This window comes from Homo sapiens, chromosome 1 (assembly GCF_000001405.40).
Source record: "Homo sapiens chromosome 1, GRCh38.p14 Primary Assembly".
Classification (NCBI taxonomy): domain Eukaryota; kingdom Metazoa; phylum Chordata; class Mammalia; order Primates; family Hominidae; genus Homo; species Homo sapiens.
Genome location: NC_000001.11, coordinates 213,854,701 through 213,871,265, shown reverse-complemented (window position 1 = coordinate 213,871,265; position 16,565 = coordinate 213,854,701). Strand labels below are relative to the sequence as shown.

At 41.4% G+C, this 16,565-nt stretch overlaps 1 protein-coding gene and 1 long non-coding RNA gene across 2 annotated transcripts in view; one reads left to right on the top strand and one right to left on the bottom strand.

Annotated features, from left to right (window-relative positions):
- Positions 1-16,565, top strand: part of PROX1-AS1 (PROX1 antisense RNA 1) — a 166,513-nt gene that overhangs the window by 114,888 nt on the left and 35,060 nt on the right. The window lies entirely within an intron of this gene.
- Positions 8,531-16,565, bottom strand: part of RPS6KC1 (ribosomal protein S6 kinase C1) — an 811,495-nt gene continuing 803,460 nt past the window's right edge. The window contains exon 19 of the transcript XR_007058661.1: positions 8,531-9,437. The gene's annotated coding sequence lies outside the window, so the exon portion shown is untranslated. The remainder of the gene's footprint in view (positions 9,438-16,565) is intronic.

The window sequence follows — 16,565 nt, the reverse complement described above, 5'->3', positions numbered from 1 at the left end:
AACACCCCTATTCTCTTCACCTGGCTGTCCTCCTTCTTGTCTAGCACACCTGACTTCCAGGACCTTGTCTGTACTGTTTCTCTTCTCGGATATACCCTTTCTTTTGCTCTATCCAATTTCTACCCTTCCTTAAGGCCCGTGTGAAATCTACCTTCTTGTGAAGACTTCTTCGGCTTTTTCTAGCATTCCTTTCTCTCTTCTCTGCAATCCTATGGTATCTAGAGGCACGTCAATGTAAAATGACACTAAAGTACCTATTGTTTAATAATGCTTTCACAGTACTGTATTTACTGCTTTGGTCCTAAAAACAAGGGCTCCTTAAGGAAAAGATCCAAATCTTCCTATACTTTTGGTGGCAGATGGCGAGTTCTTGTTGAACACTGGCAGACAGAGCTAATAGAGACTGGTACTCTCTCTTCATCGCTCCACCCCAATTTTCTAAGCTAGTATCGCCACCCCATATATACCCTGGGGGTTCAGGATATGCTAAAGTCCACACTTGGCACCCCATCTACCAATCTAGAAAGGTTCCATTGATTGAAAAATTTGTCAACATCTGTGCAAGAGTTTGAATTGTTAGTTTTCACATCAGATTGTTTCAATCTGGGAATTTTGAGCCTTTGCTTTTCACAGTGGCCTGACCATGCTGTAAATGTGCTTCACTTCTGACTTCTCTTAGGTCCTGCTTGGTTCTCAGCCTCTTTGTCTCATGTCAAGTGTCCTTAACCTCTATGCATAGGCACATCCTCTCCCAAACTCCAGGACAAACATTAAGTTTGCCCATGAACAATTTCAGGAATGACAGCACAGTCTTTTGTGATTCCAATACCCCAAACCTTGGGCTAGAAAGCTGAATTATTGACCTTGGCCTTGTTTCTGAGACATGTGCTCACATTTGCCCTGGGTCTGAGAGCTGGATCCAGTCTTATTACCTATCTCAGAAATGCAACTGGTACTCCAACATCTATCCATTTGAGGGTTTGTGCTGCCTTGCACACTTCTCTGATGCTGGCTGCTCTTCTGAGCCTCCTGGTGTTGACCTCAACTGAATTTCCTGCTAAAGCTTCCCTTTTTATGCCACACTGTATCTTGACACCAACCATGTTTCTAATTTCCACTAAGTCCACATGCCACCTGTTGGATTAGACTTCCTTCAGGCCTGTTGTAGACTCTGCTCCCTACTGCTCTACTGTAGAAGTGGGATTAGTTCTGGAACTTCATCCTTCTCAGGTTCCTCTGGGCTCATACGTATAACTTAACTACATCCTGGGACATGGCAAAAGCAATTGTCTTCAAAACTCAAGTGGGCTCTGCATGAGATGCACCAACAACCTGACTACCAAGGCCTGAAGTGGGAAGACAGACAGGGAGTGAGGAGCCTGTGGCTGCACGCTATGACAGCAGCACAGGGAAGATATGAAGGGAGCTTGCAAACCAGGAGAGGCTCAGATGGGGTCTAAATTCATGCCAGGGGATGGAATCCGAGTACAGGTGGCAGGCAGAAGATACCCAAAACTAAATTGATATTGGTGTTATGGCAGGGCTGGAGAGAGCTAGGCATGAATAATGTCAAATCCCCACTCAGAGGAGCTGATGGTAAGGGAAAACTGAGGCATAAAACTAGTCATATATCAGGGCCAATATTGAATGGAGAGCCTTAGTGAGCATTTAGGCTCCCAGAACTCTTCCCAAGACTTCAGGCACCTGATCTCCACTGTCTGAATGGCTGAGAGGTTGAAGTGCTTTCTTCTTTTGTGAGGCAACTGGGCTAGCCTATGGAAACAACCCCAAACTCTGAGTGGCTTAAAACACAAAGGCTGATTTCTTGCCCACCCTAACATCTAAAAGGTGGTATAGGGTCAAGGCCATCTTTGCTCCATATTGATGTCACTCAGGATCCCAGGATGACTAAGGACCAGCACTCCTAGTGCTCACATCTCAACAGGAGGCCCAGGTTTGCCGCCACAAAATCAGGAGAGTTGAATATAAGGACGTAAATGTTTTGAATGCTTCTGCTCACATTTCATTGGCCCAAGCCACTTACACTGGGCACACTTAACTTCAAAGGGCAGGGCTGTGTAATTTTCCTTGCACCTGTAAGTAGAGGAGAATGGGATTTTGGGACAATAGTAATGCCTATGAAACTGGGTCAGGATCAATTCATGACCTTGGCTTTGCAATGGCTGTAAATTTTATGTGTATGCTTGGGAGGTGGGACATAGGGGGAAGTTTAATTATTGTCTCACGTAGAGGAGAGGGGAAGAAAGCGTTAGCAGCTAAATACATAGGGTCAACAAATACTCTACAGAGTAAACCATACTCTGAAATACAGCTACAGTCTGGAGTCTGGAACTGTGATTCACCTTTGTATGGGCCAAATCTAGCTTCTGGGCATGTGTCTTCTTATTCATTAATTAATGCTGCCCTTAATATATGAGCATAGTATAAAGCTAAACAAATGCCATCGGAATTGGCCTTTTTTTTCTCTTTCCCAGTAGAGAGGATGTTTCTGCAATGAACTGTCCATGTGCTATCCCTCCTTGTCCTCATTATATAAATCACACCATGTGTGAGCTGGTTGGCCCTAGCTAGGGTTGTGGCCCATGGCTATAACTGGTCTGAGAGTCACGCCACTATTTTTGGCTTTACTAGCATCACATCTTAATTGACCAATTCAGTCATTGCATCACAGGAGCTCAATGAAATAACTTCAGCTTATATTAAAAAAACAACTATTTAGATGTAATTCAGCTTATATTTTAAAAATTCCTAAACAGTTACACAGACACATAAGCTTATGTACCCCCAAACATAAATCATACAAATCTCTATCTTTCAGAACAGGGAAGTTTTAAGAACCACTTTGAGGAACGTCTATGTTTTCATAGAGTAACAAGAGTCATTTCCATTGTCAAACTCATTGTTGAAGTGTGTCTGCCATAGATCCCTCAGTAGACACTCCAAAGAATAATTCTGTTCCTAGACAGAGCTTCAAGTGTCAGGACTTACAGTGTGGAAGGGATTCAAAGAGGGAGCTAGGAATGGGGATCACAACTGCAGAAGATTCAATAGGGCATGTGTCTTTGGCGTCTTTGTAAGAAAGTATACTCCAGTACACTTAGCACATTCGTCGTCTCGGAGTGATGCTCTCAAAGCCTTCATTACCTTCCAGACTAGACTACATTGATAACAATTCTTGCTAAACTGAGCCATTCAAGGAAGGGACAATTTCAAGAAATCTCTTGTGGATGTCCATTCTGTGATTATTTGACTGGAGAAGCATTGTCTTTTTAACAAACCAGCAGTCGTAGGCTTTTCTTGGCTCTAGGTGAAGAGGTGACTTCCCTCTTTGATTCAGTGTTCATAATTGGGCTGTCTGTTAGCCAAGGTGGTGAGAAAACAATGTTAATGAGGTCAGGGGTTCAATGCCCACGTGGGTCAGTTAGTGTTTCTTTGTTCTTTGGCCAAAAGTCTATATCCTCTGACTGTGTCCAGCCACTATGATGACAATAGAGATTGGGAGAGAGTGAGGGAATGTGGATGGCTCTCTGTAATATTATTCTTCCTACTGTGGAAAACAACTCCAAGTTCATGTCCTTTTGTCAGCAAAGTCATCTTCAGGGATGAAGGAGTACCCATTAAGAAGCAATTAAGAAAATAAAAGGTATAGTTCCAACAGCAGTGTCAAGGAGGCTGAAGCTACAAGATCAATTGTCGTAGCTAGAGATCAGCTGGAGAAGGCAGCAGCAGTAAAAATAATTATTATCCAGTGCCAATTTTCAATTTCTTATCATCCAAAGTTTCAATGTTTTCTACACATTTGTGTAAGGAATAAAGTGTATTCGTTTGAGTCTCATCTCTTTCTCTTTTGTTTTTGTCAGCCACATTCTATTGGAGATCCTAAATAGTAATAAAATGCCCATAGACAGCCAGAAAAAGAAGACTCAGATATTCCCACAAGCAGGATCTCAGCCCTGGAGTAACTTAGGTCTGGCTTTTTATCACAATTCATGATTGCCCCATGCTGTACACTGCTTCCTCAGAATTACTGTGCCTTCTGGGATGCTATGTGGCAACATGAATCAGGGAAGACACTAGCCCAGCATGATGGGAAAGACTATGGGCTTCTATGTTGCACAGACTTGATCTTATGACCTCCTAGTATTGTGTGTGTTTGTGTGCCTGGGAAAGCCACTTAACTGCCTACAGCCTCAGTTTCCTTACTTGTAAAATGGGGATATTAATGTTTACCTCATAAGGCTGTTGGGGAAGAATTCCATGGCCATATATGAAGTCTGGCAAAGCTAGTATGATACCTGGCATTTTGTAAGCATTTTCCCTGATGACTAGAATTTTTGTTGTTAACACTGCACACATTTCTTTTCATTGTTTGGTAAATTTCCCTCCACTTAATTGCAGAACCATCTGTGTAGAGCAGCCATTACTAATATCTCATTGGCAGATGCTGGTAATGGCTTTCCTGTATCCCTTAGCCCACCTGAATTCGCTAGAGCAACAATAGACAGTTGACATCTTCCCACTTCACGAGCCTGGGTCTGTCTGTTTGTTGGCCTGAGAACTCTCCAGGGCATTTGCAAAACTTAGAAGCATAAGAGTTTATGCTCCTAGTGGCAACCCTCAACCAAAAGGAAGATGGAGATGAGGGGGACTTACTCGCAACCAGGTGGAATGATTCTGAGATATATTTCACATGGCTTCTTAGAGGATTCTCAGCACGATGAAGCTCAAATTGCCCACAGCAGCCACCCATTAAGGCAGCTCTATTGGCTTTTCTCCTTTCTTTGTCTTGCTTTTTTCACTTTGTCCCCATTTCTTCACTTTTGATTCCTGAGTTAACCTAAAAAATAAATTTCTAGCACCTAATTTTTATCTCAGGATTTACTTTTGGGGAACCCAGACTAAAACTCCTACTTCATAATGTTTTTTACTTTTATTTTTAATTTGTATACAGTAAAATTAGCATTTTCTGATGTGTAGTTCTATGAGTCTTAAAAATGTATATGTTCATGTAACTACCACCATCATCAGGATACAGAACATTTCCCTCACCCTAGAAAAATGATCTCATACTGCCCTTTATAAGTCAAACCATTCCCCCTACCCTAACCTATGGCAGCCATCCTTCTAATAGAGATTTCCTTTTTGAGAATTTCGCACAGTGTGTAAATTTTTTAAGTCTGGCTTCTTTCACTTAGCATAATGCCTTTGAGATTCATCAATGTTGTTTTTATCAGTAATTCATTCTTTTTCATGGTTGAGCAGTATTCCAGTTTATTGGTTCACAGGTTGATGAACATTTGGATTGTTTCTAGTTTTTGAAGATTATAAATAGTGTTGTTCTATATATTTACATACAGGTTTTCATGTCAACATAAGTTTTTATTTCTCTATCTTAAATACCTAAGAGTGAGTTTGCTGGGTCATATGGTAAGTATATGTTTAACTTTATAAGAAACTTCCAACACTTTCCACAGTGGTATCACAATGTTGCACTCTCACCGCAATGTTTGAGAGTTCCAGTTGCTCTACATCCTTGCCAGCACCTGGCATTGTCATTATTTTTATTGTAGCCATTATAACACAGGTAGTGGTATTTCACTGTGGTATAATTTGCATTTCCCTAATAGCTAATGATGTTGAGCATTTTTTCATTTGCTTATCTGCCATCGTGTGTCTTTTGCTCATTGACTTAATTGGTTGAATTTTTTTTTCTGTTGAGTTTAGAGAGTTCTTTATATATTCTGGATACAAACCCATTGTCAGATATGTGATTTGCAGCTATTTTCTCCCAGTCTGCAGCTTGTCTTTTTATTCTCTTAATCATAGGGTTTTTATAAGAATGAATGTATTTACACTCTATAGGGTTTTTATAAGAATGAATGTATTTACACGCTAACTTCTTTGAAAGCTAAATACACATGCAATATACATATATGTCAAATTGTGGGGGGGGGGAGCTTTTGGAGAAAAGATATTGACTTGGAACTCACACAAACCTGGGCTTGAACTGTGGTTCGGTTACCCACTAATTCCTTTGCCACAAACTAGCCTGTTAGTTTCCTTATTTGTAAAGTATGATAATAGTACTTACCACATAGGGTTGTTGTGAGGATTAAATGAGACAATATATGTCAAGGCCTTACCCTAGTGCCAGAACATTATAAATTGTTCAATAAAGGTCAAGATTGTATTCATATTCTCATATTCCTTTTTGTCTCCAAGGCTTTGCTTTAGCTGCTCCTTCTGCTTGGACTATTTTCCTGCCCTCACTCGTACTCCTTACCCCTGACTCTCACCATTTTTTTGGCTGACTAAGATAATTCTTACTCGGGGAAGGCCTCCAGTGTGGGCCAGACTCCTTCTTGGTGCTGTCATAGCACCCTTTAATGAGCATCTATCACACTGTTTTTAAGCAACGTAAGCTGCAAGCAACTTGAGGGCAGAAATAATGCCCACCTAAAATAATCCAAGCTGTGTTGGATGAATGAGTGAATGAACGAGTGAATTTCATCTCATGCTTTGTCTGAGGATCCCAATTTGACATTTCATCTGTGTATTGCCAAATTCAGTCCCTTAAAGACAGTCTTAAGCACCCCAAATGGATGCCTGTGACTAACACCAGGACCCTGCTTGCGATCAGCCAGACAGTGCATCTTTGACAAGTTGGATGCTGAATGCAGAAACTTGAATGCTTTGCATCTATTTACTTTTACCACATGCCATAAAAATTAAAAATACATTGTACCACAAGTGCAGTATTTAGTGTCTCACTTTAATTACATTCAAGTGTGTTGCTAAATAGTCTTGAGAAAACCTTAATGACCAGCTGTTCTACCCTTTTCCCATATGTCAGAAATGGTTTCTGAAATCACATTCTGGGGCAGTAAGGTTGTATAATTAGACAGTGTATAGTCAACACTTCTAGATTTTCCCTTTAAACTGTGGACCTTTTACACTAACATATTGTGTGATTCTGCCAGTTTGGCGCAATACAATTAAATGGCATGCCAAACAGCAACCGAGATATGCAAACTCCATCAGACGTGTTATGATTGCATCATTATCTCCTCATATCTTTTTCATCGTCAGGACTGTATGTGTGTGTGTGTGTGTTTGTGTGTGTGTGTGCAATGCAATATTCAGCATCTACAGCTGACAAAAAAACTTAGTAAAAAGGGCTGTAAATTTTTAATATTCCCTTCATAATGCCATTTATCTCATTAGACTTAGATGTGAGAGTGGCTTTTGCATCTTTTCGAACAAAGAGCTATCACTCAAATACACAGCAACCATTTAAAGAAACAAAACAAAACTAAAATTCCCCATGGTTATAATAGAAGCCAGTATTTTATATTGCATCTGGTGGAGAGATGAGGATTTTATCAATCCCCAAACTAGATTTGAGAGATAAAAGAAGTTGCATTTAGACAAATTTGATTATTGTAAAAATAAGTCATTAGTTACTTACAGTTGCTTGACTCTGAGCTGAATAAGTTGTTCGGAAAACATAGTAATATTTTGTTTGATTAAGTCGGGCTAATTCTTTGATTTTTGAGTGTGGACAGAGACTGAAATAGAAATAGAAAATAAGGAAATGTGAAGATTCTATCAACTGGATAATATTCTCTGACTCTTCCTCTCCTTCTTCCCCAAGAAAATGTCCTTGATGCGGTGTCGAATCACAAGTAAAAAAATCTACCTTTGATTTCTGAATTCTGATCAGAAATTGCCCATATAAATACAAGGCGAAGTCATAACTGAAGCTCTCTTGGGTCCTAAAGCATCAGACTTATTTTTTAAAACGGCTAAGAGAGAGAGCTTCACTGTTCTGCTAAGACCGATTTACTACATTTTTCTCTTTAATGCCTGAATTTCCAATGACTTATTTAGATGTAAGCACTGACAGCTGTAATCATGTTTTAAATCTTGCTTTGTATCCTCAGTTATAATGTTGTTCAATTAATATTCAGAATATTGGTAGTGATGTGCCGTTTTGCAAACGACTTGAATACAATCCAATGCTTTGGGAAACTGACTCTCAAGAGGATTAATCAGCATTTAAAACTTGCATTAATAAAAATCTGATCTTCCACCATGGGGCACGCATAATACTTTTTGTTTTTAAACATTTTAGTGTAATACTATGGCATCCTTTGTCCAGATTTTTAAAGGGATTTTAAAATTGAGCTCCTTCAGATCAGTTCTGCTCTGACCCTTGCACATAATGAACACTTGCAATGCAAAAATATAAGGATGTTCTTCTGAGGAGCGTACCAAGCTGCATTTCCATTACTAAAAAGCAATAGTAGACTACAACATGGCACTTAGCATTTTAGTAGTTTCCTCCAATTTATACCCAAAGAGTTTTCAGTCTTTCTTTGACTATTCTAAAGCTCAATTCTTTAAATCCAATCCCTGAGAGAAAAAGATCAAAAAACCATGTTTAAATAATGAAAAGTGATCTATAGTAATAAGGGATCTGTTGCCAAAAATGGTATATTTCAAACAATTTTGATAATTAGTGGTCTCTTTTTATTTGTTTTTAAATAAGCATGAAGAACAGTGAGTTATTTACATGTAAACAAGGATTTGAGTTCTCAATGCAAAATAAAATGACATGATGGAAAATGAATGGGGAAGAGTGGACTGAGTACTCCTCAGTTATAGCTAAATGAGAGTGAAATAGAAACGGAGAAGAAAGAAGATTGCAAAAGCAGAGTAGAAAAAAAAAATCGCTGCTTTATCCTGGTACAGTAATTGATTCCTTTATGACCAGAAATAAATCACGTGCTCTGGTGCTTCTGGCCCTCTCCTCTCCCCTTAGACTAGCTGGCATGCACTCTGGCCCAGGGCCTACGGCTTTTCCTCTGCTGAGACCCAATGTGACCCTCCGGACCATCGGCAGAGAGGAAGGTCTCCTTGGTAAATATTGGGCCTGGAAGGATTCTATTCTTCTCCTTGCATGGTTTTAGAAATTTGATTTCCTAAAAGGAGAGCCGCACGATCCTCTTCATTTCCACGCTAATGCAGTCAACACCATGGAGCAAATTCTTATCGCGGCTGGGCCTTATTAGGACTACGTAGCATGTGCAGCAAATGGTCTATACGTGCTTATTGAAAGAATCCATTTCAAAGCCCTTATTAAGTGCCTGCCTGCCTGCCCCGGGTATGCTGGCTCCTGTGTGGGAAAGACCTGCTCACCTGCCCCCCGCTTTCTAGCCGCAGGACCCCTGCTCTTCCTTGAGGAGCAGCCTCTTTTGATCTCCTTGAAGTCTGCTTCTGAGATGGAGTGCGAGGGAAGTGCAAAGAGGGCGATGGTGGCACTGGAAAGGGAGCCCGGGGAGCAAAAAGGCAGGACTAGGGAATGGATGAGGTGCCAGCTTCAGACTCGGGTGTCAAACACCGGCAGGGCAGATCTGAAAGGAAGCAAAAGCATTTATTAAGATACGACTGGACAGTAAAATGTTCACATCATGCAACAACTCCGTGCATCTTCTGTTAATGAGGATGTTAAAACAAAATAAATGTTGAAAAACAGTGGAGCCAAAGGTAGGCTGCGACTCCAGTTCCTCCTGCCTGAGGAAGCGATAGTGGTGTAAATGCATATTCAGCTGTAAACTGTGCACATCTGCAGAGGTGGCTTGGAATGGCTTTGCATTGAGAGTGTGTGATGGCCATAGCGGCTGTTTTGCTACTAGCAAAGAGTCTTGTGTTTTAAAAGCTTCTTTCTCAGGCTACTGAAAAGATTCTTGTTGGTCAGTGTGTTTGTTTTCCTTGCCCTGCAACATTTTTATCTCCATCCACGTCCACGCTGTTATTGAGAGAGGGGACAGAGCCTGGCCCTGGGCCTGGGTGCGCACCCAGCTTTCTCTTAGAAAGTGTGCGGTGATAAGGTGTGGGGGCCTTCTCCCTGTATTCTTCCTGGATCCTGGCATTTGGGGAGTTTGTTTAGCTTCCTGGGATAAGGTTGAACCACTCCTGTTTTGGGGACAAATTATTAATATTTGGGCAGATTTAAGGCCCACTCTGAATCAGCCCTCTATCAGCTTTCTAAAACTCATCTAAGATCAAGTCAGCTTCTTGCTTTGAAACCTAAATAGCTTCCCTCAGCCTTTTAAAATAAATTTCAAAGCTTTAGCTGGGCATGGTGACTCAGGTCTGTAATCTCGACATTTTGGGAGGCTGAGGTGGAAGGATCACTTGAGGCCAGGGGTTTGAGACCATCCTGGCTAACATGGTGAAACACCATCTTTACAAAATATACAAAAATTAGCAGGGTATGTTGGTGCACGCCTGTAATATCAGCTACTTGGGAGGCTGAGGCAGAAGAATCGCTTGAACCCAGGAGGCAGAGGTTGCAGTGAGCGAAGATCGAACCACTGCACTCCAGCCTGGGTGGCAGAGTGAGACCCTGTGTCAAAAAAAAAAAAGAAAAGAAAAAGAGAAATCCCAAAGCTTTAGTGTTACCAACAGTGCTTCACCATGCGACTCCAGGCTCTGGCTGCGTCTTCTGCTTTTCTTCCACTGTTCTCAGGCACCTTGCACTGAAGTCCAATTAGCCTAAACATCACTCCTTAAACATATAGTGCTATTCCTGACTCTGTCCCCTTGCTAGAACACTCTCTCCTTTGCCTCTTCTCTGCATGCAGAATTCCTACTCATCCTTCAATGCCCAGCTCAAATGCCACCCCTTCTCTGTGGTTCTTCCTGAGCTTCCATGGTGCTTTCTTTTCCTTCTGTTTCCTCTACCCTACTTCCACTCAAGAAGAATTAATTGCTCCTATAGCTGTGAGCTCTTATTATGGTATTTCTCACTTCTGCTATAGGTATTTTTTTTTTGTTTCTCTTACACAATTTTGCCACTCAAGAATTGAAAGAGTAGATCCGAAATTGTTATTTCATAAATAGTCGTTGAAGTGAACTTACCCTTTAATAAGGGCTATGTGTATTTCAGAATCCTAGAATTCAGGGTTTATAGTAAAGAATTGATATTTAAAAAAATCTATCAAATATAATAATATAATAAAATTAAGAGCATAAGCCTACTCTTGATATTTAAGAACTTTCTTCATATATATACATACACCTATATATATTCAGATATATATAGATACATATGTATATATATCTGAATATATATACGTATCTATATTTACACCTTTTTTCTATGTCAGGCCCTAAAATACAATGATACATCTAGTAACCAACAGAAATATCCATTTTTTCCTGATCTCAAAAAAACTTAGACTATAATTAGATTTTTTTTTTGTTTAGACTGTATATCTAGTAAAACTCTCTACTTCCAAAAAGATGGGTGCTTACATTATGCATCTCTGAAAAGTATTTGAACAGATTCAATGTAAGCATACATCAACTGCATTGAAGGAATGATTTAAAAATATGGAGTTTTCCGTCCTATGGCATGAATGGGCAAAAGCAGTGTTACTATATTGATTGAGAAAAAGTTCCAAAAGCAAAAGCAACCCCTTTTTCCACCATAGATGGTGATACCTGTAAAGCACTCTCCAAAGTCACAGTATTTTCTGGACAAGCAGATCTCAAGCACAGTTAATGATAATAAGGGCCATCTAGAACGGGAGTCAGAAAACTATAGCCCACAAGCCAAATTCAGTGCACTGCTTGTTTTCATAATAATAAAACTTTATCAAAACACAGACAAACCCTCTTGTTCTCATATTGTCTAGGGCTGCTTTTGTGCTGCAATGGCAGAGGTGCGTCTTTACAATAGAAACCACATGACCCATAAAACTGAAAATATCTGGCTCTTTGCAGAAAATGTTTGCTGTTGCTTGACCTAGAAGCTTCATTCTGTTTTGTTTGAAAAATGATACAGATGCCTGAACCCCATCTTAGATCTACTAGGAACTGCAGGAATAAATCATGTTAATAATGCTTTTGCTAAATGAATATGAATAAACAGGCGAGGGGAGGGTGTTCAGATTACAGATACAACTAGAACCCACTCCAAATCACAATACATTGCAAGTACCCTCTCAGGCCCCGGACATATGCCCTATTACTTTCTTGTGAGATTCTCTCTTTCTTACAACTTTAACCTAACCTAGAAAAGCACAAATGCCACTGATTGCCTGTGGATCTGAAATTTCAAAAATATTTCCAAGAGTGTCAAATGATGCATGCCTTGGTCTGCATAAACATGGTCATCTTCTCATTGCTTGGGACATGCAGGAAAAAAAAGTCCAGCTCATCATGAGAAACGATGCAGATGGCATATTTGGCATCACCAGCCTGCATAGATCAGAGATGCATTTATTTACATGACTTTGTTTGCATTGTGACCATTTATCTGGGCCCTTGCTCCACATTTAACCTTTGAAAGGGTCAAGAGGGAGTGAGCCACTTTGCCCTTGGGATTGGATGGAGTGAGCCTCCTGTAGGGGGCATGTTTGCATTTCCTCCTACCTGCAAAATACTCATTTCTTACAGCATCAGAAAACATTTGGTTATGTTATCTTGTGGGTCCAGGAGGAATGTGGAGTGTGCCAAATTTAAGAGCCACTGCCAAATGCCATAGTCTGCATTATGTAGACAGAACATGCCAGTGGAACTGGCGCTAACTGGTTGTAGATTCCAGCTGTTGCCTCAGAGGCAAAAGATCCCTGTTAGTCATTTCCAACTGGGATCATGTCCTTTGCTCTGGTTATGAGATGTCTTTGTATCTGTGCAGCAATATTGGCCTGTGGGTGCAGCTGATTGACCACTGTTACTGACCTCTTTGAGGCTGGGACAACGAACCCTGAAAGCTGCATCAACTGGCCTCAGAACCACCGCCCCCCCAACATGTGACTTGAAGATGCTAAAAAAAAACACATCATGGTCCTTAGAAAGAGCCTTGAGGAGCTTGGTTCTTGACCTGGGAATGCCACTTGCTGGGTTAGTCACTGGAGTGCTCACCTGTAAAATGGGCACAAGTTAATCTCTTTGAGCTTTGGTTTCCTCATCTTTCAACAGGGATAATCATACAGTTGTTATGACAATGGAGATAATCCATACAAAGTATATGGCATGTAACTGGCATGGAGTAAGCTCCCAGTTAAAGTTTTTATTATTTATTACAATTATTATCATTATCATTGTTATTGATACGCATATCTTGCTTAATACACATGGTGGTTGAGATGATCAGATGAAATAACTGATGTTGCAGTGCTCTGTGAATATGCAGAACTTGGCTGATGTAAGAAGGGAGGAAGGGTAATTGCTTATAGAGCTTCTCTGTTAAACCTGATTTTGACATGACGTGAGCCTTTGGCCAAGAGTCCCTCTCCTATTTGGCATGAGAAGCTACTTTTCACTTTGTTAAACCCTTGGGAGACTGATGGCCTGTCCCTGGGTGAGCAGTGGTGCTGATGGGGCTGGACATCACCGAGGAGGTAGCTGATGTGCTGGTGGAAATTTTCCTGAGAAGAACCAGGCCAGGGCCCAGATGCTGCCCAAGCAGGACGTCCTGCTGTGTAGTGGGGGCAGTCTCCAGACACTGAGGGAGTACAGTGGGACATCTATCATAGAAAAAGTGTGCGATAGTAGCAAGCCTTCTGCCCAGAACAGTGTCAAGACAGAGAAATAATAATTCCCTGGTTGGTTTGAAAGTTTGTTACTTCAATGGGCCTGTTAGCCTAGTGGTTGCACTCCACAGGAATTTACTGCTTTCCCATTGCACCTAAATCCATGCAAAAAGGGGCTATGCCTTGAGGAGTCCTGGTGAAATGATCTGCCGTCTGGTTGCAGTGTGAAAAGAAGAAAGGAGTAAAGGCTGCCCCTGAGAATAACGGGAAGGTGTGAACACATTAAAGTCTGGTATTTTTATAAGTACCTCACACTGTTTTTATAAGCATAATTTTCATGAAGAAAGATTCTTGCCCTGGTAGAGAACTTGTATTATCTACTAGTTTTTCATGAGGAGTCTGAAATTCAACGGGAAGAAAGCCTAGATGCTCAAAATGGCAGCCACTGGTCATGACAATGGTGGCTCACAGACTTTGGTATCACATGCCACACCATTGGGAGGCCCATGGGTGTCCAGCAGTGTGGTGCACATCACTCCAAAACACTCCTTTGGGTCAATCAATTTGGTAAAAAGTCAACAATAACTAGCTTATTTTCATATGCCTCACCTGCCCAGTTTTAGGCATATAATATATATTCAATACAAATATAAGACTAATATCATAGCAATAGATCATATTTGTTAAACACTTACTAAAGGCCAAACTTTGTTATATGTGCGTTACATGTTTCAGTGAATTTTATTCTCACAATAACTTCATGAGCTAGCTTATGTTGTTATTACTATTTTTAGAGGTGAAGAAATGAAGTCTTTGAGAACTTAAGTGACTGGTGCTAGGTCACATCTAGAATTGCTGGAGTTGGGAATTCACCCCAGACACACTGACTACCAGCCCATCAAACCGTGTGCCTACACGATAGAATTGGTTTAAAAAAGAATGTACAGCTTTTAAAAGAAACAAAACATTGAACTTAGGGAAGTGCCCACTTACAGTGTTTCCTTAACAGATTGTGTTTTTATTCTTGGTGCAATACTTAGATTTTCTATGAGTATAACTTTAGTAAAAATTATGCAAAAAACGTAGTTTATAGCATGTAGAACAAACATTTGGTGATTGGGCTGAGGCCATAAAATAAAGGAAAGAAGGAATGGAGAAAGGAAATGGAGGAAGGAAGAAAGGGAGAAAGGAATAGAGGAGGGAAGGAAGGAAGGAGGGAAGGGAGGGAGGGAAGGAAGGAAGGATGGAGCAGAGAGAAACACAGAGAGAGAGAAAGAAGAAGGAAGAAAATATATGAAACTAATTTGGTGGTATAGACAGATGTGTGTGTGTATGTGCATGTGAGTGTATGCATGTGTGTGTATTATAGAAGCAGTAAGAAGAATTAAAGCACCTCTTCATTAGAAGTCCCATATTTTCTTTCTTTTTCCTCTCTGCTTTTCTTAGAGAAGTGTCTAACAGGGACCCGACACATTCCAGCCACCATATTCTCAGCTTGGTTTTATATCCTCCACTGTGTGTGTGTGAGGGGTCCACAGAGTTATAGTGAAAAAGACTGACGACAGTGTTTACCCTGTGAGTGACTCCACTCCAGGCCCCAAGGGAAAGCTTCAGCCGACAGTTCCCTTAAGTCTGGGAGAGGGAGTGAGTGACAGCCAGGCTCCCTCGTCACCTAATCACATATCCGCTGGTTGGGATGTTCTCCACTCCCTGCAGCCTCTGCCCAGGCAGACAGGAGGCATGGAAAAGAAGGGGAGTTTGCAGGCCTCCCATGGTACTGCCTGTATCCACACCAGCTACCGCCACTCTCCTGTAGCAATGGATGTGGAAAATCACACTGGGATGGAGAAACCCTCTTAAACCAGAGCCTAGTACAGCATTGCCTGCAAGGCAGACCACACAGAAGGATGGCAAGTCTGTCACCATGCCAGGAAAAGCTGGTCGTGGATGTGTTACACAGAGCTGAAGGGCCAAGGAGCAGTGATTTGCAGTGGACCGGGTAGCCAGCTCTTGGCTAGCACTGTATGAGGTAATAAGATGGTCTCCACCATCTAAAAAGGTTGCAAGAGAGATGAAAGGAGGGATTTCAGCCTGAGAGAAAGAAGCAGGGCACACACAAGCCCCCTGGAGAAGAGAGACAAGGGAAGGCACCCAAGGACAGATGCTAGGCTAGTGAAGAGGTTTTTAGCTGTTCCAGTGGAGAGGGAAGAGTGCATTGTCGGCAGAAGGAGCACATCTAGCCTATTATGAAGGTTCTCAGGCAGTGTCAGGTGACAAGGTTGTGGAGTTAGAGTCAGCCTAGCAAAAGAACTTCCCTAAAGTGCTTTGAAATACAAGAGAAGTGTTGTCAGCCTTGCTGAGTGGTGGCAGTAGTGACGGATGATACGACTTGATAAGCGTTTTTCATAGCTCATTTCTGGTACTGTGTAATTGACTGAAATAGACATCTGCTGTATTTGTGTCCATTTGACTTTGTTTTCTGGGAAAGTGCTATGGACTAAATTGCATCCCTCCCAAAATTCATATGTTGAAGCCCTAACCCCCAAGATGATTGTATTTGGGGTAGGAATATAATTAAGGTTAAATAAGGTCATAAGGAGGCATCCCTGATGGGGCTAGCATCCTTATTAGAAGGCACACCAGAGCTTGCTCTCCCTGTTTCCCCACCATGTGAGGACATGGTGTGAAAGCCGGCCAGGAGGAGAGCCCTCACCAGAAACCAAACAGGCCAGAACCTTGATCTTGGACTTGTAGCCTCCAGAACTGTGAGAAAATTAATTTCTGTGGCTAAGCCACACAGATTATGGTATCTTGTTATAGCTGCCTGAGTAGATGACTAAGACAGGGACCTGGGATAAGGCGGGGCATGGGCTGGACCCAGGCTCAGCGAAGACTCTAACCAGAGGCTGCTTGTAAAATTTTGGATTTCTGTACGATGCAGAGGAGTTACCCCCAAGTGGTCCATCTGAGTCCCAGGGTTTGCATTTCAGGGACTGA